Raw genomic sequence first — 23,038 nt, 5'->3', positions numbered from 1 at the left:
ATTGACTTTAGGGAAAATGTGCAAGTATTAAAGTAGTTCACAGTGGAGCTTCTGTACTTTCTTTAAACCTAGACAAAGATCAAAAATACAGTAAAATACCCCTTAGGGAGGAGAGAGAAGACAGTGGGCCAGCCTCCTCCAGTTCTATAGATGGAATGTCACTGCCGGTTTCGGTGCAGGTGTAAGGAAGAAAGTGTCCTTTAAAAAGATGAAATGTCCAACAATGATAGACTGGATTAAGAAAATGTGGCACATATACACCATGGAATACTATGCAGCCATAAAAAATGATGAGTTCATGTCCTTTGTAGGGACATGGATGAAATTGGAAACCATCATTCTCAGTAAACTATTGCAAGAACAAAAAACCAAACACCGCATATTCTCACTCATAGGTGGGAATTGAACAATGAGATCACATGGACACAGGAAGGGGAATATCACACTCTGGGGACTGTGGTGGGGTCGGGGGAGGGGGGAGGGATAGCATTGGGAGATATACCTAATGCTAGATGACACGTTAGTGGGTGCAGCGCACCAGCATGGCACATGTATACATATGTAACTAACCTGCACAATGTGCACATGTACCCTAAAACTTAGAGTATAATAAAAAAAAAAATTAAAAAAAAAATTAAAAAAAAAAAATAAAAATAAAAAGATGAATAAGCACAGTGGGCATACACCGGATCCCCCAACATGCAGTCTGGTTTGAAGACCTCATACCTAGGGTATGAGGGGAATGGGGAGCAGAGTGCGCAGAGAAGCAATGAAACTGTATAAGAAAACAAAATATCTCATATTGGAAACTGCAGTAGTAATGTTAACTTTTCAGATAAGAGCTGGTGATCAAAAGATGGGTCTTCAGTCCACTTTAATGTATTATTTATTCAACATGTACAGCCCACCTGCTTCCAAAATAATATGAGGTGGTATCTTCAACATAGTATAAAGCATTATCAGAGTAGAACTCAGTTTCCAGTCTGAAAAGTTGTTTTCTTTTATTTTGTATATCTATAACCCTATTATGTCCCACAAAGACATAGAAGAGGTAAATAATGTATTGCAACTGATGCCTTCAAACAGAAAAAAAGTCAGCCTTTGAGAAGTACCTTGTCTATTTTACTTAGAGCTGAATGCCAGTTTCTAGAATGGTGCCTGGCACAAAGTAGATGCTCAATTAATATTTATTGGATGAATCCAAAATCTGAGCATCTCCATTAGTGCTATTTCAGAAAGATGATGACAGGTGAAGAAATCTGGATTCGATTTTGTCAATTTTTGTTAAAATCCTTCACTTCTCAGTGGTGGAATTCAAGAGCATCTAACTACAACAGGTATATGATTCCCCAATTATAGAAATTAGTAAGCAGAGGTTTAACAAGAAAAGAAATAGCAAAGCTATAGAAACGCCATTGATCATAATAATAAACAAGCACTTGAAAATAATAATACATCTAAGATAAAGACAACTGATTTATATTTATCTATTGACTCGTTAGAGTCATATCAATAAAATTATTTTTCTGTGTGTGTGTGTGTGTGTGTGTACTTTTTCTTTCTTTTTTTTTTTTTAGACAGGGTCACTCTCTGTCACCCAGGCTGGAGCGCAGTGGCACTATCTCAGATGACTGCTGCAGCCTTGACCTCCCAAGCTCAAGCAATCCTTCCACTTCAGTCTCTCAAATAGCTGGGGCTACAGCTATGTGCCACCATGCCCAGCTAATTTTTATATTTTTTGTAGAGATGGACAACATTTCACCATATTACCCAGGCTGGTCTCAAACTCCTGGACTCAAGCCATCTTCCTGCCTCGGCCTCCCAAAGTGCTGGGATTACAGTGTGAGGCACTGCTCCCTGCTTATATGCGTTTTCACTAGCAAAACTGGTGAAAGTGGCTGGGTGCTGTGGCTCATGCCTGTAATCTCAGCACTTTGTGAGGCTGAGGTGGGCAGATCACCTGAGGTCAGGAGTTTGAGACCAGCCTGACCAACATAGAGAAACTCTGTCTCTACTAAAAATACAAAATTAGCCAGGTGTGGTGGCACATGCCTGTAATCCCAGCTACTTGGGAGGCTGAGGCAGGAGAATTGCTTGAACCCAGGAGGCGGAGGTTGCGATGAGCTGAGATCACACCATTGCACTCCAGCCTGGGCAACAAGAGCGAAACTCCGTCTCAAATAAATAAATAAAAGTGGTGAAAATATTCATGGGAGATTGCTGGAGAATCTCTGCTCCCTACTATTTATATTTAATCTGTGTATTGCTCTCCAAAGCTTAAGGGGAGTAGGCTGGGAATAACTAGTCCCTTAGTTATTCAAGGAAGGAAGTCTCCTTCCCTAAACAGGGGTTGGAAGAGCCCAGTGTTGCGATGAGGCACGTTAATCATGCTGGTCATGTACCAAGGCACAAGCCAGACAGAATCACTTGACTAAACTCCTCTAGAAAACTTTTGGATATAGCAGACATAGGTATAAGTTACCTAACTGAATCAAGGGTCAAAATCACTGAGACTCAGGAAAATACCTATGGGAAGTCAGCCCTGGGAGGAAGCATCTCTACTCTTGAGCAATGGGAGCAAACCCTCTGATGAACACTGCCCATTACAGAAGCACATGTTGATTCCCTCAAGAAATGACATGCTCAAAGGACAGAAGGGCTGGCAAAGTGAGGGGGACACTAGACTCTGCTCTCAGAGAGGTTGCTATGCCTTTAGCAGCCACTGTGAGCTAGGAACAAAAGGGTGGAACTCCCCATCACTCAGCTAAAAAGGCTATCACAGACCAGTCCATGAGAGGGACTGTGAGGCCTCTTCTGCTAGCAACTGAAGACAGAAGAAGAGCTGCAGGAAGCCAATGCATCAAGAAAAAGACAGAAAAGCAGTTTACCAGCAGACAAACCCCTGTACTACCACCAGAGGCAAATCTTTCCCAGCTGAGAGGCCCCAAGAGCAAAGCACATGCCAAGCTCCTGAAGATGGTCAGAGCTCACCAGCAGGAAGAGGGCCCCAGAGCCCAGGGAACTTAGCATAAAACAATCTTCCTTCCAGGTAAGACACTGCGAAGTGTCTTTTGTTGGATACTCAAAAATGTGAGATGCAATAAGATAAGTATTTTCTTAAATTACTACAGTCTTCCTACTATAACAAATAATGATTGTTCATCTATTTTTTCTTAATTAAACCCCCTTCATAAGTTACAGTCTGAGTCAGCAGGTACTTGAGACATTTTGTTCAATGAATAAATGAGTCAGAGACTTTTCTCACCCACTCTACCACACACCCTTCTTCAAATGTTGTCACTCTTGGTCCACTTCTCTGTCTTTCCCCTCTTAGTTCTTATGATCATCTGCTGTATGTTTTTATTTTATTACTAACTGAACTTCGCTTGGGCTATAAACAATCTGAGAACAGAACTTTATCTGTTTTTTTACAATCTTCTAAGCTTCAGTGGCTAAAATAGTGCTGGCACATAGTTGATACTAAAAAAAAATGTTATTTTTAGTTGTTGCATGACCACATGCCATACTGTGTTGGTGCTCAGAGAGTGTGTAAACTCTCTGTGTGTGAACACTCAGCTCACTGGCTGGGTGTTCTCGCTCCAGGTCACTAATGCTGGAGCCTTCATCACGCCACTCTCCAGCAGTCATTTTCCTCTCTCTTCTTACATTTATAAGTGCACAGTATATATATTTAGTATTTCAATTCAATCCTCATCATGATCATGTGAGGAACACATCACTGTGCCTGTTTTATAATCAACACAGATGAGGAACCAGGAAGGAGTCCAGCGTCATCCAGCTTCTGAATGACAAAGCCCTTGCTTAGTCCTCCTCCTGTAAAAGTCAATATTCCCTGGTGCTTAAGAGCATGGGCTGCGGAGTTAGACATGTGTAAGTTTGAATTCCAGCTCTGCCAGTTACTTGGTAGATCCTGACCTTGGGCAAGTCAGCTTTAGGCTCCTCATCTGCAGGATGAGGGAATAAAAAAACTATCCCATTGGGCTGATATGAGAATCAAATGAGTTAATGCACATAAAGCACCCAGCACAGTCCCTGACACTTTGTACATACTCAGAAAGGGGTGGCTGCTACCATTATTCTCATCATAATTATTGCCATCACCATTATTCTCTCAGAGTAATTTCTAGAGCATCGTGACATTAAGTTAAGGCATGTTGATAAGACAAATACCAGAGGAGATTTGGTCATGAGACTGTATTCATCCTGATGATTGTAGGTATCATCACTCAGAGGGTGGAAAAGCTATTTCTTAACTCGACAGTACTACTGAGCTATATCTATTCTCAAAGAAAGAGATAAGCAGGAAACCATGTAAAATGTGCCATAGTACTCAACTCTGTTCTTTCTTATCTTGGGAAGGGGGAAGATCTGTTTACATTGTCAAAGTTAAACCACAGTCCCACTCTACTATCACCTGACACACACCAACTGATTCCTTCTCAGTCTTCTCTAACTTACCCACCCCCCAAAACTTCACCTAGTGTAGGAGCTTAGTGATAGAAATTCACTGAAACTAGAAATCTATTCATTCCCAAAATATGTGACCTTCACCTGACATCCCCCAACCACACACACACACACACACACACACACACACACACACACACACTCATTTAGCCACTATTTCATATACAGTATCTATCCCATTGATCCAACTATATCCCTCACACATCTAGTAAAACAATTGCCTCTGCAGGTTCTGAGAGCTACTCTATGTGCTTGTGTGTGGTAATACTCAAGCCTGATAAAAGTTACAAATGAAGCTGCCAGACATTTGTAGGGGACTAGCTTAAGAGCATCTGGTACTGAAGATCATTATAATTTGAAATTGCCAAGCCAAGTATATCCAATGCACCCCCACTGGATAGTTAGTAAAGCCCAAATATTATATACCTCATATCTAGTAAGGATACACAATACGTGTCAGAATGCATGCTAAAAGTCTAGTTGGTGGGAGAAGGAATTTAAGACCCCATTTGCCAAGGGCTGTGGTGGGGGGAAATGACAGTGGTTTAAATTTATGCATTATAGGTTATGAAGTACTTTCAACTTAAAATGATTCCTCTGAGAATGATAATGAAGAAGGCTAAGCAAGTGTGCCATCCCCTTTAAAAAAATAAGGAAACACAGATTGTGGAAAGCCTCACAATTAGTAGAATGGGTCTTAAACTTAGCCCTCCAACCTCTTATATTTTAAGGAAACTAATAGAAAATTCAATCTAAGAATTCAACAATGAACACTCGAAAAGTATGACTGAATAAGTAGCAATCCTAATATCAGCTCTAGGACTACTTGAAGTAGTTTTAACGAGCAAAATTGGTCTATATTTCAGATATTCTGAAGGGGGTGGCTCCAGAATCTCTGTGTAGGAGGCATTAGGGGAAAGAACATGTTTGCAAGAGAGAGCTGAGTGATTTTTCTTAAAACTGCACTTGTATAGCAAGCACACTGCTTTTTGAAGTATACTTATTTATTTGAGGGGGGCACATGGGATGATTTTGCAAGGACAGTGTTACCTATCAGCAGTAATTTGTACACACCTTAACATTCTACATTAATCACCAGGTGAGTGATTATCCTTATAGAACAGTATTTGAGAAATTAAAAAAAAATAAAAAGAGCAAGTACATTTCTCCCTGATTCTAGAAGGTATGTTGTTGTATTCTTCCACATGTAGAAAAAAATAACTGAATGCCTTTTTTCAGGACTGGGGTGGAAGCGGATTGCATCAGGTACAAGGCATGTGGTTTGAGCATGCATAGACTTCCATTTTAATTAGATTTCTGTCCCCAAGCTGCTGGACAGTTTAAGGAAAAATATGCAGGACTCTAGAAAAATCTTTAACTGTTAATTTTGGATCTAAGTTTGTTCTTGTTGCTCATGCTGCCATTGTCCTTGTTCTTATTTTGTTGACACCCTCTTCATTTTTGGCACTGGATTCTCTCTCGATGATCTGTCATTGACATTCATTGATTACTTGCTACCTGGCATGGTTTTGGGGTCAAAAGATCTGAGTTTGAATCCTGGCTCATTCACTGCTTAAATGTATGACCTGGGATAAATTACTTAATTTCTCTAAATTTCAGTTTTCTTATCACCCATATTAGAATCCTATTACCTATTGTGCAGAATTTTTTTGAGGATGAAAGAAAATAGTATTTGTAAAATGCCTGGAAGAAGACAATACAAATGAAGTACAAATTGTTACTTTCTGGAGACTGGGGATTGAGTGAATTATATGGTAAATATTTTATAGTTTTCTTTTATAGCTCCACAGAGGGATGTTTCAGGGATATGCACACTTAAAAAAATAATAAATGCCTCCCACTAACACATATAAAAAAGCGACCTTTAAAAGTAATGACATAAAATACCCTCATATGCTTGGAGAACATAATAATAGCAAATTCTAAAACTATATGTCAAGCACTCTTCTAAGCACTTTTATATGATATATACACACCCCAAACATATTTATTGCATATAGTTTGTATATTAACTAATTCAATTCTAAGAACAAAACTATGCAATGGGTACTATTATCTTACAGATGAAAAGACTAAGTAGAAGGACATTAGTTAAGTAATTAAGTAATTTGCTCAAAGTCATACAGCTAGTAAGTGGCAGAGTCAGGGTTTTAACCTAAAATACTTGTATAGGTTACATGTGAGGTAAAATTACCCTTGAAATCCAGAAAGTCAAGAAGCCAAGTGAATAAGGACTAGGTCGAACTGCTCTCTGAAGATTTTTCCTCAAGCCTCCCAGGCAAGGTAAAAAGTGGAGTGCGGGGTGGCATAATTCAGAGCAGGACTTTGTCATCGCCAGTGTCTGCCAATGCTGGCCTAGTTCACTGTCTAAAAGACTAGGCTGTAGAGCTGTCAGTCCAATTTTATCTTCCTGTTTTGAGATCTCTTTACAATAGAAAAGTAGAAATAAAATTTTTTAAGCAAGGGCTGAGGTGTTATGACCTCGTCACCCAGGTGATGCTGTGACTCATTTTCCTTGTGAAGATTTTGACAGGGAAAATTCACACTTGAGATGTTGAAAACAACCCAGAGACCAGGTTCCCTTTTAATTCTGAAAGCAAAAGAGAAAAATATCAGAGAGCAGGGAAAGCAATACTGGGAGAAGAGGGAGGGAGAGGGCATCAGGTCAGGAACTATGGCTATTTAATAAATGAGAAAAGCAGATGAATGGACTAGAGTCAACCTTATGCATTCTTATCAGAAGGAAGGGATTGAGCAGGTGGTAAAGAGAAGGTTCTGCGATTTATTCCTGAGTGTGAGGATTTAAATTCAGCCTGAGTTCCTGAATTAAACATTGCTTTTTACTTGAACCAACTATTCGTGTTCCTTTTTTTCACAATTGTAGTGAGGTATATAAGGAAACCCCATCTAGAACTGTTTCACGCATGCCGTACAAATTGCTCTGAATCGAATGATACTCAGAAAGTATCATATTATTTATGCAGCATAGGTTGTGGAGAAAATGTATATGTTTGATGACTGTGTAGTTCATGGTACAAAGCAGCAGCACACCTCCCACTTTGTGGTTCTGCAGGGAGAAACACCGAACCCTTTGGAGCCATCAAAGAAAGAAAATTCCCTTTTATTTAGTTTGGAAACCAGGCAAGCAAATTTTACGACTCTTGAATTAATTCCTATGAACCTGCGTTCAGGGATTAATAATAATCTAATCTTTGAATGAAAGAATTTGGCTAAATTGGGTAAAAATAGGGAGATATTGTCTAATTCTGCAGTCTTGAGGTCAATGAAAATAACTTTCTACTTGACATATACAACACTATGAGACATGCCACAACCCTCTCATAAGTGATGTCACATGGCCCAAAGGGATGTACAGAGCACCAAATTAGTGAAACTCCAACAATGGGGAGCTTTACAGATGTGTTGCTGCATAAAAAGTCCTGGAGACTCTCCTGAGTTCAAGAGGTGATGTCACCACTCTTACCAGGATTCTGATTTACTTCTCAGAAACCAAGAATTTCCCATATTACTGTATCAGCTCAGAATTATACCCAAGACTAGGAATAAATGATTCCCAGAAAAATCCAGTAGCCAACTCTCTCTGTGGTTTGCAATTTGACAGTTACTACATAGAAAATTCCCTAATTTCTCCCCAAGCCAAATTTGCAATTCAAAGTCATATCAAAACCCGGTAAGCTGAACAAACCAAAGTTGCCTGATACCTCTGCAGCCTCTGGTAAATGAGTATGCATCTGAGTGACTATGCCATGATATGGAAGATATGGAAGCACCCAAGAAACATACAACAGAAGGTTTAAATCACTGCAGAGAATCAAGGCAATAACAGAAGTAGCTGGTGGCGATAGTGCAGTGGGTATGCAGGGAGGACCTAGACGAAGATTCTCCTTTTACCAAATGTCAGAAACTCTACCTAGAAGTACTATTCTCATATTTTAAGGTTTAAAACTGACAATAAAAGCTAACACTATAACATTCAATCTAAGAAGCTCTCTTCCTTAGTCTGTCTTCCACTCTGTGCAACATATTTTATCACAGTAAGCTAAAATCGAATTGTGGTTTCATTACAATATGCCCTTCCCCTTCCCCCCGACCCCCACCAAAAACAAACTTTAGACATTCCCATTGCTTATCAAGCTAAGAAAATATGCATTGCTTTGGCATTTGAGAAATTCATGAAATGGTCCCTATCTTCCCACTTCTCTTGTGAGCATGCCCTGTGGTTTGCAATTTGACAGCTCCCAGGTAAAAAAAAAAAAAAGCCCTAGTTTCTCCCCAAGCCAAACTTGCGATTCAAAGTCATATTGCTGGGTGCGGTGGCTCACACCTGTAATCCCAGCACTTTGGGAGGCCGAGGCGGGTGGATCACGAGGTCAGGAGATCGAGACCATCCTGGCTAACACAGTGAAACCCCATCTCTACTAAAAATACGAAAAATTAGCCAGGCTTGGTGGCGGGTGCCTGTAGTCCCGGCTACTCGGGAGGCTGAGACAGGAGAACGGCGTGAACCCGGGAGGCAGAGCTTGCAGTGAACAGAGATCACGCCACTGCACTCCAGCCTGGGCGACAGAGCGAGATTCCTCTCAAAAAAACAAAAACAAACAAACAAACAAACAAAAACAAAGTCATATCAAAGCCCGGTGGGCTTGACAAAGCAAAGCCAAGTCAAACCACCCTTTGGGTGACACTGAAGTTTGCCTGCCTTAGAAGAACCTCTGCCCAGTTATATCTTAGCAGCTTGCTCAACTCAGATGCTGCACAAAGGCACTTACAGCTAAATCTAGGCGTCACATGCAGAAGTGCAGGATAGAAGAGAGTGGTGAAAAAAAGCACAGAAAACTTGCTGGGTTCCAGTGGAAGGGCCAGACCAGTGAGCTAGCAGCATGCCAGCTGCACTCCCAGCTGCAAGGGAGTGCAATGAGCTGCAGCTGGGAGGACACTTGTGGAAGGAAAAACAGTTTTTTTTTTAACAATCTGAGTTGAGTAAATTGCTTATGTGTGAAAGAAACATTTTGTGGAACCAAGTTAAATGGTGCTAAGTCACTATACAAAGGATCACACCCTCCAGCTCAAGACACCTGTCTCTAGGGACTATTTCTAACAATCTTAGATCTGGATGAAGACAAGGCAGTGAAAGCTATCGAGATTAGCTAAGGGAGCACAGTGACCTGGCAACAGAAACAAAAAGGGCTTCTTAAATCCCCAGGGCTGTTCCCTCAGCAAGAAGGAAAGGCAAGGAGGACAGATGCTGTCTACAGCCTAGCCGTTCCACATGTGGACCAGCAACATCTGCACCACTAAGGGCAGTTTGGGCTGGCAATGCAGACTGTCACCCCGCCCAGGCCCACTGAACCAATATCTCCATTTTAACAAATCTTTTGCACATTCAATGATGAAATATACTGGCCCACAACACTCAGACTAAACACACCCGTTCTGAGAAATCTACAGTTCTTTTTGAATATCTCTTTAAATGAAAAGTTTCAGACAGTTTCAGAGGTGCCTCTATTATAAAATTCAGAGAAATAATCAGCAGCAAGAAGGCCAGGCCTGACATATCCCAACCTGACTCCAACTTTATGAAAGTCTCTTCACTTCTCTGGATCTGTTTCTTTGTCTGTACATTAAGGGAGTTGACTAGGAGATTTAAGACAAACATTCAAAGTGTAAGTTTGAATTGTGTGCAAATGTATATATGTTCTGTTTCCCTATTTCTCTAGAAAAGAAACATCTAAGAAGTTATCTGTGATCTTATTCTAGTATCTGGAATGGTATTTATAGGTATATAATTATAGGTACATAATTACTGGGAATTTTGGAATATGTATACAACATGAGGATCTCCAAACTGAGAGAGCACCAAACTTCTCCGCTGGCCAGCCTCCCATGTGGCAATACCCTTGACTCTGTACAGTTAAGGATGACTTGACCTGCATGCCTCTATGAACTGTTAAATAAACCACCTCAACAGGAAAGCAGACACCATCCTTTAGGCATCTAATTCCTACCCTCTCAGAATGCAGTAACAAACCCTTCATGATTCAGCAAAAAGCTAAACATTCCCCCAAAGCCTCTGCGATGAAAAAAGTGAAAGATTCTAAAGAAATGTCTCCCTTCACAAGTTTTAAAGCCAAGTTTTTAGCTGTGTTGAAAATCTGAATGGAACTCACTGTCCTAGTTGCGGGGGAGGGGGCTGCTAAAAATAAATAAATAAGATACGCGAATCACTGTTATCCTCTACCACAGTTGGCTTCAACCTATTTAAAAAGAAAAAGAGGTCAGAAAACAGAGAGGGAAGGTTCTAACCCTCATGAGCTTCCTACACTCATCACTGGCAGATGCAGTATTGTCTCTCTACAGCTCGTCTACCCTCGTGGGTCTCTTCAGTCATCAGCTTTTAGGGATGGGGACCCATTCTGACCCTAAGAAGCTTGCTGCCTGACACCTTGCCCCTCTTCCCTTTTCTCTCTCTCTAATATTTTATTTTAATTTTTCGCTCTCCTTTCATGTGGACCTGAAGCCACTTACAGCCTGTGACAAAGCCCATCACATCGTAGTGTTTAATGTTCATTCACATTATTGAATGAATGAACAAATGCATGCTGGTGCCATGTGTTTCCAAGCGAAGAGGAAATCTCACACCAAGTCTAAATTTGGCCACGTCTACAATCATCTCACTTCTTTCCACCTGCTTCGTTTACCCTCCCCCCCGAAAAAGAAACTTGTGTGCAATTGTCTATAGAACCTGCATTTCATAGTGAGAAATGGAAAGTTCAAATGAAAAAGCCTAGAAAACTTTTTAAAAATAGTAATAATCATGAAAGGCCATTGTTTTCCAAATGGGGTCTCTGGCCTTCACTCCTCAGCTGTTTGTTCCTTCCTGTGCTGTCTTCTAAAGACAGAGCATTGCTGTTTAGTTTCCAAAGGTCCGCTTTTGCTGACAAAGAAACCTTCCTGCCGGCCGCTCTTCCACTCCCCTGGCCCTGTTAGAGAAAGAGGCGCAAACAGCCCGAAGAATGCTAAAGTGCTTTTTGCCGCCTCCAAGCAAGGAAAAAGTGGGCGGTACAAGAAGGTTACTTCCAATTGACCCAGCTTTCTCTCCTCTTCCCCACCCGCTGCTTAACCTTGGCTGACCCAGGGCTGCTCAGTCCCCGGAAGCAGGCTGCGGTTGCTGCTGCGGGTGGGAGCTGAAGGCGAGCGGGCCAAGAAGGGCGAAGGAGAGAGCCCGGCGCATCGCCCCTGGGTGCCCTCCTCCCGCGGAGAGACCTGGGGCCCTGGGCTGACGCTTTTGTTCTCCAAGCCCCTGAAAGAAGCAATTATCTCCCAAACAAGAGATTGTGGAGATTCGTTAAAAATGAAAGCGAACTCCCGGGTGTTCGGGGAGCAAGAGGCCTCCCCGGAGGTCTGCGGAGTTGGAGGAGGAGCCCCGCGGACCCCAAGCGCCGTGTCGCTGCCTCTGGGGGGCTCTCCGTGCAGCGGGCGGAGGCCGCGCCACGCCCTGCGGTCCCCAGGGTCTCAGCGGCTGAGGCCACGCCCGCAGCACGGCCGCGAGCCCGCGCGGGTGGGGGCGCAGAGAGCCGGTGACTGACGGCAGCCGGGGAGAAACAAAGAGATGAGATCACACTGCAGAGCCGCCGAGGGAACGCCTAAAGAAGGCAGAAAATGAGACGCGAAAAGGGCCTCATGGAGTCAGAACGCAGAAGGTGGGGTAGGAAGGCCAAGGCAGAGAAACGAAGCCCTGACTTGGAGAAGGGAAACCAGGCAGTTTGTAAGCCCAAGAGTAAGAAGCAAAGTGGGGAGAAGGAAGACAAGCCAGAACCAGCCCTACTTAGGAAAAAAAAACCAAAAAAGTTTGCTTCAACCCTCTCCTCTCCTCTGCTGCCCGTCACGTTGTTCTCTAAACTCTGATGATTTGTGTCAGTTCTTTACATCGTATTTTGTTTTGTTTGAGTCTGGGGTCTAAGGATGGGCTTCAGAGTATCCCTGAAGTAGTGTGCAGTATGTTTGGTTTATATGATTATTTCAGTGTTGAATGCTCATAGCTTTTTTATATGTCTAAGGTATGTAATACCCCGAAGAAGGTTAACTGTTTCTAGGCCGCACCATTGTGGAAAAGAAAAAACAAATAGAAAACAGCTAACATGGAAATGTTACCAGGGATGAGGAATTTAGTAATACCTTGTCTCTTTGGTTAATCAGATTAATACCAGTCATCTAATCAAAATAAACATTTTTGGCTGGGTACGGCGGCTCACGTCTGTAATCCCAGAACTTTGGGAGGCAGAGGTGGGGAGGATTGCTTGAGCTCAGGAGTTCGAGGCTAGCCTGGACAACATAAGGCAATTGTGTCTACAAAATATATTATTTCATATATTATTAATATATGTTACATTGGTTTTGCCTGGGGCTCCTTGAGGCAAGTCACCAAAGGAGCAAGGCCAAATCTCATCACATAAGATTATTAACTAGAAAAGACTAATTTGTTCTAGGGCCATACTTGTACCTGATAGCTTCTCACCCAACTGTAAGTTGATTAAGGGCAGTGACCTTATCTGGTTTGTCATTTTAACAGCAGCTCCTAGCATAGTCCGTGGGACTTAGCAGGTACTGAAAAAATATTTGCGAAAGAAATTAATGAATTAACAAGTGAAAGATAGTCTTCTCCCCATCTCCCCATAAACTGATCAATACCCAAGAGGCCCGGGATCAGTTTCACCATCTGGTGGTAACTATGGGTAGTTGAACAAAATCTCACCCAGTGTTCCTTTCTTCGTCCTGGGGGTGAACACACACCTAAGCAGTCTTTCTCCTTAGACCTAAGCAACTCACCTCTCCTACACTTCCACTTTAGCTCATCGCTTGCTCACATAAGCCACTCATTTCCTCTTTTATTCTCTTTTTATCTGTTTTCTCTTTGCCCTCTCCCCACATGATGTTTCTTCCAACCTTTGCCCATCATAAGAAATCATTTTATCCATCCCTCCTTTCATTTATCTTGAGACTCTCATTATGACACAGAAGTAACTAATACAAAAGAGTTTTGCTATAATTTTCATTCTCAGTACTGTTGAGGGTGGGCTACCATAATACTTGTAGACTAGAAAAGGGAAATTATACGCAAGTACGTGTGTATATAGTTTTTTATATTTTTGCATTTTTAATGAAATTATATATGAGGAAATGGTTCTATTACACTCCGAAGCCCAGTAACATTATTTTCTTCTATGTTTCCATTGCAAACATATAGAATTTCAGTTACATTTTGGATCAATCTGAGTTTTACAGACAGGTCTGGAAATTTTAGGTTATTTCTGTGGGGAAAGCCTTTTATGTTTCAAGTTTAACAATTTCTTTTTGAAATACAATCCATTTTTTACTAGGAAATTGCTTGCTTTTCTAAGAAACTTCTCTAAGGGGCTGTTTCACTGATACACTTTTACTTTCTGAGAACGATGGAAAGATAACATTTCTATTATTACAAAATCGAAGTTTAGGTAGATTACATCATTTTCTCCCAACCAAATTTCAGATTAGCAGAAAAAGTCCTCTTTTACCTAGATCAGGGATTCCCCACCCTCAGTATACATATTTACACCAAAGAGGCTTGTTTAAATCCAATTCATAGGTTCAACTTTCAGAGATGCTGGTCGAGGGAGCCTAGTATAAAGAGCCCAAACTGCATGTTAGTAAATGTGCTAGTGGGCTGCATCTATGGTCCTTAGACCTGAACCACAGTCCTGATTGGAAACAGCTTCCTTGATTTTATATTAAACAATTCAGAATTTTCTATTTCTACCCCATTACCTCTTTACTTTCAAGTCAAGTGGATACCCAGCAGCCGCTATCCCACACAAATGACCAAGAATCACTATTCTAAATTCCAGCATGCATAGACCCACTGAACATAAGACACAAGGCCTAGAAGAGACCATCACACCATGACATTTCATAGCCCTTGAAACTGAGACCAAGAGAGTGAGTCAGTAGAGCCCCAGATAGAGCTGGGGCTACCTCATCACCCCCTGTGTTTTTGTTTATGTCCCCAGGGCACAGAGTATGAGAAGGCTGAATTTTGGACAAAGTAGATAACTGAATTAGATCATTAGTGTCAAAGGCATGCTTTGGCCTAAGGCATGTGGCAGGCCTCAATTTATTATCCTTCCATCCCAGGCCTGAAAAATCCAGATTAACAGACTAGACTGTTCCTGTTGTATTTCAGTCATTCTAACATGCTTTGATCCTCCTGGGTAGTTCGTGTGGAATTATAGAAGCATAGCTTAAAAGAAATAGTTTATACTTTTCTGTCCCAGAAGCAAAATGCCCCAGTTTTGCATAATGTCATTGAATATTATAGTATTCAATGAAAATGCAAATTAACTTTCAGTGTTTTATCACATTTACTAAGTTATGAAATATATATTGGTCTTATGCAAAGTTTTGGTACATGTGAAGGTACTGATAGCCCCAGTTCAGGAGAAATCCCATCCTTCAGGCAGACACTAGATCCCTGTATATAATATTCTGTACATACTATTTGACATGATTTAAGAGAATTTTGCAGAGAGAAGATAGTGAAGCTTATAGTGATATGCATATTTGTAATAACAGACCTGTTCAATAGCTATTCTAATACAATAAGCTGACCTTAGTGTTGTGTTTTAATTTTTAGGGATAATACTGATTACCATATAGTCACATAAATATATACCCTGGGGAAAAGCAAGTATCTACAACAAAATAAATTCATTAGCAGAAAGGATTTCATCTAATTCTTGTGTCCAAGGTAACATTGGCTTTTTAAATAAGGAACCATTGACTCTAGTTTCAGGAACCCTGATCCCTGCCAGACCCTTCAGCAATGAGTTTAGAAATATTCTGGTGTTCACAGATCGAAAATTTGACCACCTTGATGCAACCTGGCCTCACTAAAGTTTAGTCTATACCTAAGTTACACAGATCTCAGAGGTGTGTGGGGCATGAGAAGTTTCCTAATCCTACCCTCTACTCATACATATTTCTTGCCTGGAAAACTTTATAATCAAAGATTTATTACTACTTTCTTTAGATGTGGAGATTTGCCCAGTATCACTAGAAATTTTTAAATATACCAAACCATCTGAATCATTTCCTAGGTGTCTCTGGACTTCCCTGCTAGATGCCCCCCGTGAATTTCCATATTCTTTAAAAATCACCTCACTCAGTAATAGACAGTAATGAGACCTCTGCACAGAATGTTACAGCTGCACTGTACTGTGTACATTTCTGGAAAATGGACTTGGTATTATTTTCCCCCAAGAAACCACCAATTTACACATCTGTTCTTTGCAGCAGTGGATATAATTATCATGATGCTGTTTATAGGAACATGACCCTCTGAAGGGGCACTAGCTAAATATCTGTAAACAGGGATAAACATACTGTGTTTCTTTCTCAAGCAATTTGAGTAATTTTTGCTGGAGGAGAAAAAAAGCCATCTTTTGTCCAGCCAACGTTTGGCAGGATTCGCCTTTCTGAAAGTGTGACTGTGTGTGATTCGTTGTGCCCCAGGAAGGCAGATTTACTGAAGCACTCTTCTGACTCAGGAACATAGTGTTCAATTAAAACAGAGCTTTTAAAAAAAAGACTGCTAAGAAAGGTGAGCTGAAGTAGCATTGGGTCTGCTCATCTTTTCCTCAGATCTTCCTGGGATGAGCTGGGGTCTTTAGTAAGGACCATTTGTATTTTCTAAGTATCTTTCTCCAGAGAAGAACTTTTCAGATAAACTCTCCTCCTTTGCGGTTTCATCTACTGGATAAGTGGACAAGTGTGTGACTTGCTTAAGTTTATATTGAAATTGAGTAGAATAGTCAATATTTGAATCACTTGGTACTTCATTCTGAGCACCAGGCAATTCTGTTTTATATATATTGTGGCCAACTGATAAATTAAAGTGAAAACAATTGAAATATGGATGTATTTTTTACACCACAGCAGAAAACTTCAAATCTGTGAGAGTCAATTGACTTGAATTTTTCAGCCTTGAAAAAGGCAGAATCATCCAATCACAGAAGGAATGTGTAAATGCCTATAGACAGTGGATTTGGTGTTGGGGGAGTGGAAAGGGGAGATGTGGAGACCAATATTTCCTCTCTACTCTTGATCCATGTATTGTAGAAAATGTTCATTAGGGCTAATTTTTTTTTTAATTTCAGATGTTAAATATCTGAAAAGTGATACATGAATCTATCTTTCATAGGAAAATTCATTAAATATGAACAAGGCAAAGTGTTATTTTTAATATAATAGCAATACCTACATTTGGATGGCATTACTCAAACTCTAGGGCCAGTGCAGAGTGAGGACTTCAGAGATAAGGCCCAGAGGCAAGATTAGAAAACCTAACATACAACCAGGATTAAGAAGCATGTGGCATGTCTCTGAACGAGGGATTTGAACTAGATGGTCAAGTCTTTTTCAACTCATTAATTCTAAGAATCTGTAAACTTAGTCTTGGGAGAAATAAAAGTTTTAGGAGGCGCAGGTTACCCTTGGTGAAATAGTGGTATTTCACCCCGCCACACAAAGTAGGGGCAGACACCATTCTTCAAAAACTTTTTCTAGTCTCCTTTGACATTGGAAAAATTACCTTTTTATTTATTTTATTTTGTTTTTAAGACAGAGTCTCACTCTGTCGCCCAGGCTGGAGTGCAGTGGCAAGATCTCAACTCACTGCACCCTCCGCCTCCTAGGTTCAAGTGATTCTTGTGCTTCAGCCTCCCAAGTAGGTGGGATTACAGGCATGCGCCACCACACCCAGCTAATTTTTTTGTAATTTTAGTAGAGACAGGGTTTCACCATGTTGGCAAAGCTGGTCTTGAACTCCTGACTTCAAGTTATCTGCCCCCCTCAGCCTCCCAAAGTGCTGGGATTACAGGTATGAGCCACCGCACCTAGCCCAGTACCTCATATTTTGGGCAAAAAGACAAAAATTTATATGCCCTGTTGTCAGTATTCTCCCAGATGAGGTAGAGAAACCCAGTCTTGAAGTTTTAGCTCTGCCTTCCCTCTCATTTGAGTGTCTGCTTAGTCTAACCTAACTAGATCCTTCAACTTGCCTCATAATTTCTTTGGCTGGTAACTTCCTCTTTCAGAAGTTCTGAATAGCAGAACACATTCAGTTGCAGAGGTATATAAAATTGTACGGAATCCACTGTTAATAAGTTACAGAAATTCTCCTGTCAGTACATTTAGTAGCTACTATTTTGTCTCAAGACGGTGGTCTGAACCAAAATTACACTTCATATCTATTCATTTTCATCAAAATCTGTCAACCCTTTCAAAAATTACCACAGTGAGAAGTATATGCAAAATATTAGGAACTTAGGTGAAACGTCTTAATAAAAATCATTTATTGAACACTGCATAGGCGGCTGGGTGCAGAGGCTCATGCCTGTAGTCCCAGTGCTTTGTGAGGCTGGGGTGGGAGGATCACTTGAACTTAGGAGTTTGAGACCAGCCTGGGCAAGAGCAAGAACCTGTCTCTACAAAAAAGTTTTTAAAAATTAGCTGGGCATGGTGGCACATGCCTGTAGTCTCAGTCACTCGGGAAGCTGAAGTGGGAGAATTGCTTGATCCCAGAAGTTGAGGGTGTGGTGAGTTATGATGGTGCCACCACTGCACTTAAGCCTGGACAACAGAGCAAGACTCAACAGAGCAAGACTCTATCACAAAAAAAAAAAAAAAAAAAAAAAAAAAAAGAATGCTGGATAAGAATCATCAGGAATACAGGAATATAGAGATGTAGAAAATACGATTCTTTCCCTCAAAATAATTACTGTTTAAATATGGTAACAACAAATGAAAGAATTAAATAAATAATACAAAAGATAATATCTTCAGAATTAAATGAGCGGTACAGTTTATTTGTGGAGAATTCAAAGGGAAAGATGGATTTTGGGGAAAGGTGATGGACTCAGTTTCAATGGTAAATGTTTGGAAGGAACTAGACACCCAGTAAGCAACTAGAAGCATCTTAGTACAGGAAATATACACTTGAGTGTCTTTTATGAGAAGGTGATAGTTGAAGCTATGAAGGTGGAAGAAAATTCTAATTAAGAGAATTAAAAATAAAAGATCAGAAAAACTAAGATCATGTTTTTGTATCACCTCTATCTAGAAGACAGAGGAGAAAGTAAAACCAGCTTAGAGGAGGAGAGTAACAATTGAAGAGGGCCAGAACAGGGGCCAAGAATAGAGAGGATCCTAAGAAGTGTTCAGCACAGTCAATGCGAAAATGTTAAGTGAAGGCTGAGAAAGGTCTTTGCAAATATAAATTACAAGGCCACCAAGGACCTCAGGGAAAGCAATTTTAGAACAGTGGGGGAGGGAGGGAAGAACAGATTACATGTGTTTAAGAAAAGCACGGGCCAGATAAAAATGGAGGAAATTACTATATGCTTTTGAGGTGTTTATCAGAAAAAGGAAATAGAGAAACTACAACCTTCTGCTTCTGTGTTGGTAAATAAAATGGAATGCAGCAAGAGAAAAGAAAAATATAGAAATGTACATATGAACTGAGTTTAGGATAGATTTTTTCTCTTGATGCCGAGGTTAGGCATCAAATGAGGGTTCAAAGTTGACTCCCTCTCATCTAGATAACTGGTAGTAAAATTTATCTTGCCAAATGAACACAAAAATTCATGCAACAAATTAAAAACAAATGATATACTTTTCAAACACTAACTTAACTTTTCAAACAACAGGTCTTCCGTATGTGCAGAGTGTGCATGGATGTGTGTGTGTGAGAGAAAGAGGAAGAGAGACTTGACTTCATTTAGCAAGAAACTCATAATGTTGCAGAACCCCACCTCCACTGACCATGCTTCATTTACTGAGGGCCTGTTGGCATATGGGTTCCAAATAATAAAAGGTTTCTCAGTGTGACAGAATTGGATTTTACTTTCTTTATTATTATTATTATTGTTTTTTTCCAGACAGGGTCTCTTCCAGAGTGGAGTGCAATGGTACAATCACAGCTCACTGTGGCCTCCATCTCCTGGATTTAAACAATCCTCCCACCTCAGCCTCCCAAGTAGCTGGGACTACAGAGGCATGCCACAATGCCCAGCTAATTTTTTTATTTTTATTTTTTTGTAGAGACAAGGTCTCGCTATTGAGGCTGGTATGGAACTCCTGGGCTCAAAAAAATCCTCCCACCTTGGCCTTCCAAAGTGCTGAGATTACAGGCATGAGCCACCATGCCTGACCAGATTTTACTTTCCTCCACACACTTTTTCCTTCCCCTTTAATTTTTAGAAGGAGTAAGACTAGAGTAAGAAAAGACTAGAGTATGATTTTAAAAGACTAGAGTATGATTTTAAAAATTATAGTTATATATCAAAGTTATGCTATTAGAGATGATTAGGTTAGCAAGAAAGCACCTGTGGATCTTCCACATGTGCAGATTCTAGTGCTGAGTCTCTAGAGTAGAGCTCAGTGCAATGCCATAAGAACCATAAAGATCTAATGTCCCACTTCAAGTCAAGGATGGAAGTGGGAATGGGGAGAAGGAGGAACAGAGAAATAGGAGATGGTATGGGAGGGAAAGAGAAAAGAAAGGGGGCTCACAGAGAGAGGGGGATCCCAGATGGCTACCCGAAATAAACTCTTAATGGACTGAAAGGTAATTCAGTAGAAAAAATACATCGTTTACATTCTTCTGAAACTTCATGTGTGCACATAATCAGTACTGAGGTTTTCTTTTGGGTTGTGGATATACTATAATGCCCTCGCTGATATTTTGGACCTAACCAAGAGCTTATGCCGGTGTATGCTGGGATGAGTTGCACTCTTTACCATAGAAATACACCCAGCGAAGGGAGCCCTGTGAGGGATGTGAAGAGAAAAATAACCACAGGATGAGAGACAATGTAGCTTCCTGCTAGGTTCCTAAATTAGTCAGTGTTTTCAAGATGGATCCACCTCCAACAAGGCACTCACTCCTGGACGTTTGCAAGCATCATAATCATCTGAGGAGCTTGTGAATGAAGTGTCTCCTCCAGAGATCATTTTAAAAACCTTCTCCAGGTGACACTATGTCAGGTGATCCATAGAACACTTGGGAAAGTGCTGTCTAATTCATTCCTGTCAGTTAGTAAACTCCCCTGAAGGTTTTTCTTTCCCATTTTTCCTCTGAACAGCCAGCCAAAGTTCTTCACTGAGGGAAAAAAGAGGGGAGGGTTTCAGGGTTTCAGGATTTTCTTTTCTTTTCTTTTTCTTTCTTTCTTTCTTTTTTTTTTTTTTTAGAGACAGGGTCTCACTATATTGCTCAGACTGGTCTTGAACTCCTGGCCTCAAGCAATTCTCCTGCTTCACCCTACTGAGTAGCTGGGATTAAAGGTGGGAATCATCACATGCAGCATCAAAATTCAGGATTTTGACAGGATCCCCTGAATATAAACCATCCCATTTCAATACATTTCTTGTCCTCTTCTTTTTCCTTTCTGTTTCAAAGCTGTATCATTTCTCCATAAGGAACTCTGCTGAGATCTAAACATTTGAACTTATCCCTTCTTTACTGTCACATTGATTTCTTCTGTTACCCTTTCAGTCTTCCCTTCTCTATTATTCCCTCTACTTTAAAACAGGTTTCTCCCTACCTTGAAAAATAGCATCTTTTTATTACAATCTCATTTCTCTTTCTCCATTCGACACTGTTATGGTTTGAATGTTTGTGTCTTTTCAAAATTCAAGTTGAAACTTAATCCCTAATGCAATAGTATTAAGAGGTGGGGCCTTTCGGAGGTGATTAGGTCAAGAGGTCTCAGCAAATGTCCTCATAAAAAGGCTTGAGAAAGTGAATTTATTCCTTGTTGCCCTTCTGCCATGTGAGGATGCAACAGTAAAGCACCATCTTGGAGACAGAGACCAGGCCTTTACTAGACACCAAACCTGTTGGTGCCTGGATCAGCATACAGAACTGTGAGAAATAAATTTCTGTTACTAATAACCAATCTGTGATTTTTTTTTGTAGTAGCAGGAATTGACTGAGAGGAATACCAAATTTCTAGATTTGTGGTCTATGCCAGTTATCTGTATTTCTTCTACTTCAACCTTCTTCTAAGCCTTTAAACTCTGGCTTTCATCCTCACTACTCAACTAAACTACCCACTCAGAGATTATCAATGGTCTCTTTATTCCTATATTCAATGGTCTATTCTCCATTGTCATCCTTCTTAATCACTCTGATTTAATAGTACTGACCATTTATTTTAGAGCTTTCTTTTTGTTGGCTTCCCTGATCCCATATGCTTTTACTAACTGCTCTTTCTTTTTCTCTGAATGAAGTATCTTCTGCCACTGAAGGGTGAGTAAGCCCTTCTCTTAGCTCTTTTCTTTCTAACCCTTCCTCAACTAATGCCACGAAGATGAATAAGCTCTCAATCAGCCTTTGAGTCATGTGCCCCCTGTACCCTCTGCCTCCACTTCTGGACCTTCAATTAGTGATTTCTTTCTGGATGTTTTCCTCATGCTGGCCATGCTGGAAATAAAAATCATTGTCTTCCTCACCAAATCAGTTCTTCCTTTTATCAGTTCTGCCAATAGCCCATCCATTCCAGTAAATCTAAGCTAGAAATCTTATAATCATATTTATTTCTCCACACATCATAGGGCAAGTTAGGGGGATTCTCCTGGCTTATAGGGTGCAGTGGGTTTGAAATAGGACAATGGAGTTCAATGCTGAAGATGGTGTCCAAAGCTAGAGAACAGAGCAGGACAAAGAGCCCAGTGGACAGAGGAGTCCCAGTCTCAGAGGCGAGGACAGCATATCAGATAGGGTCTACCTGAAGGAGTCAGAAGCAGAAAAGAAGGTTGAGGTATACAGCCAGCAGTCCAAGAATTAGGGAAATAAAAATGGAATGCAAGTAGATCTGCAGAAGGGCCCACAGTATTGCGTAAAAGAAGGACTACTTCCATGACGAGCCTTGTCACACTGTCATACAGCCTAGACTACAAAACAACTGGTTAGCCAAATTGAAAGGATCATGGACCACATGTATTGGCAGAGACTTTTCTTCATGTGTCATAGGCACTGAAAATGACCCATTTTTCTTCAAAAAGTCTGCAATTCATTTTACATTTAAATTTCAATTATGAACACTCTAGTCCATGGTTTTATTTTCTCTTCTATATACGTGTTTCAAACAATAACCTCTTAACTTGCTTCCTGCCTCCAGTCTTCCATGCAATCCTGCATGCATAGGTGCCATAAATGCTTTTTACATCACTTTGCTCCCCTAGCCAAAAGCTGCTAATGGCACAAAGTTCTTGCCCTATCAGGCCGTTTTTTTTTTTTGTTTTTTTGTTTTGTTTTGTTTTTGTTTTTGTTTTTGTTGGCTATGGTTTATCTTACAGGCTCATTTTCCCTCCCCCCTAATTCTTACCATCAAACACTCTCCACTATTTTTTAGGATCGTCCCCTCAAGGCTCCATGACCATGCCCCATGTTATCCCACTTCTCTGGAATGCCTTC

At 40.6% G+C, this 23,038-nt stretch overlaps 1 protein-coding gene across 2 annotated transcripts in view, besides 6 other annotated features; it reads right to left on the bottom strand.

The window, feature by feature from the left end:
- The window catches only part of GAP43 (growth associated protein 43), a 97,974-nt gene that overhangs the window by 50,864 nt on the left and 24,072 nt on the right, over positions 1-23,038 (bottom strand). Inside the window, exon 2 of one of the 2 annotated variants that reach the window (NM_001130064.2) lies at positions 6,704-7,099. The exons of the other annotated variant lie outside the window; for it this stretch is intronic. Within the exon in view, the coding sequence (NP_001123536.1) occupies positions 6,704-6,841 (138 nt within the window). The 5' untranslated portion in view covers positions 6,842-7,099. The remainder of the gene's footprint in view (positions 1-6,703; positions 7,100-23,038) is intronic. 2 annotated transcript variants of the gene reach the window in all.
- Positions 11,085-11,956: an enhancer, noted in NCBI's record as "H3K27ac hESC enhancer chr3:115377511-115378382 (GRCh37/hg19 assembly coordinates)". NCBI's record gives its function as "activates a minimal SCP1, AML or CMV promoter by ChIP-STARR-seq in naive H9 embryonic stem cells {active_cell/tissue: H9 hESC(naive)}" and the evidence as "EXISTENCE:reporter gene assay evidence [ECO:0000049][PMID:30033119]".
- Positions 11,684-11,753: a silencer, noted in NCBI's record as "silent region_14620". NCBI's record gives its function as "represses an Ori minimal core promoter by ATAC-STARR-seq in GM12878 lymphoblastoid cells {active_cell/tissue: GM12878}" and the evidence as "EXISTENCE:reporter gene assay evidence [ECO:0000049][PMID:35858748]".
- Positions 11,934-12,163: a silencer, noted in NCBI's record as "silent region_14619". NCBI's record gives its function as "represses an Ori minimal core promoter by ATAC-STARR-seq in GM12878 lymphoblastoid cells {active_cell/tissue: GM12878}" and the evidence as "EXISTENCE:reporter gene assay evidence [ECO:0000049][PMID:35858748]".
- Positions 11,934-12,829: a biological region, named in NCBI's record as "H3K27ac hESC enhancer GRCh37_chr3:115376638-115377510".
- Positions 11,957-12,829: an enhancer, noted in NCBI's record as "H3K27ac hESC enhancer chr3:115376638-115377510 (GRCh37/hg19 assembly coordinates)". NCBI's record gives its function as "activates a minimal SCP1, AML or CMV promoter by ChIP-STARR-seq in naive H9 embryonic stem cells {active_cell/tissue: H9 hESC(naive)}" and the evidence as "EXISTENCE:reporter gene assay evidence [ECO:0000049][PMID:30033119]".
- Positions 19,320-19,429: a silencer, noted in NCBI's record as "silent region_14618". NCBI's record gives its function as "represses an Ori minimal core promoter by ATAC-STARR-seq in GM12878 lymphoblastoid cells {active_cell/tissue: GM12878}" and the evidence as "EXISTENCE:reporter gene assay evidence [ECO:0000049][PMID:35858748]".

The sequence above is a fragment of the Homo sapiens genome, chromosome 3 (genome assembly GCF_000001405.40).
Source record: "Homo sapiens chromosome 3, GRCh38.p14 Primary Assembly".
In the NCBI taxonomy this organism is placed as follows: domain Eukaryota; kingdom Metazoa; phylum Chordata; class Mammalia; order Primates; family Hominidae; genus Homo; species Homo sapiens.
The sequence above is the reverse complement of the archived record's forward strand: the minus strand, read 5'-3'. Positions and strand labels throughout refer to the sequence as shown.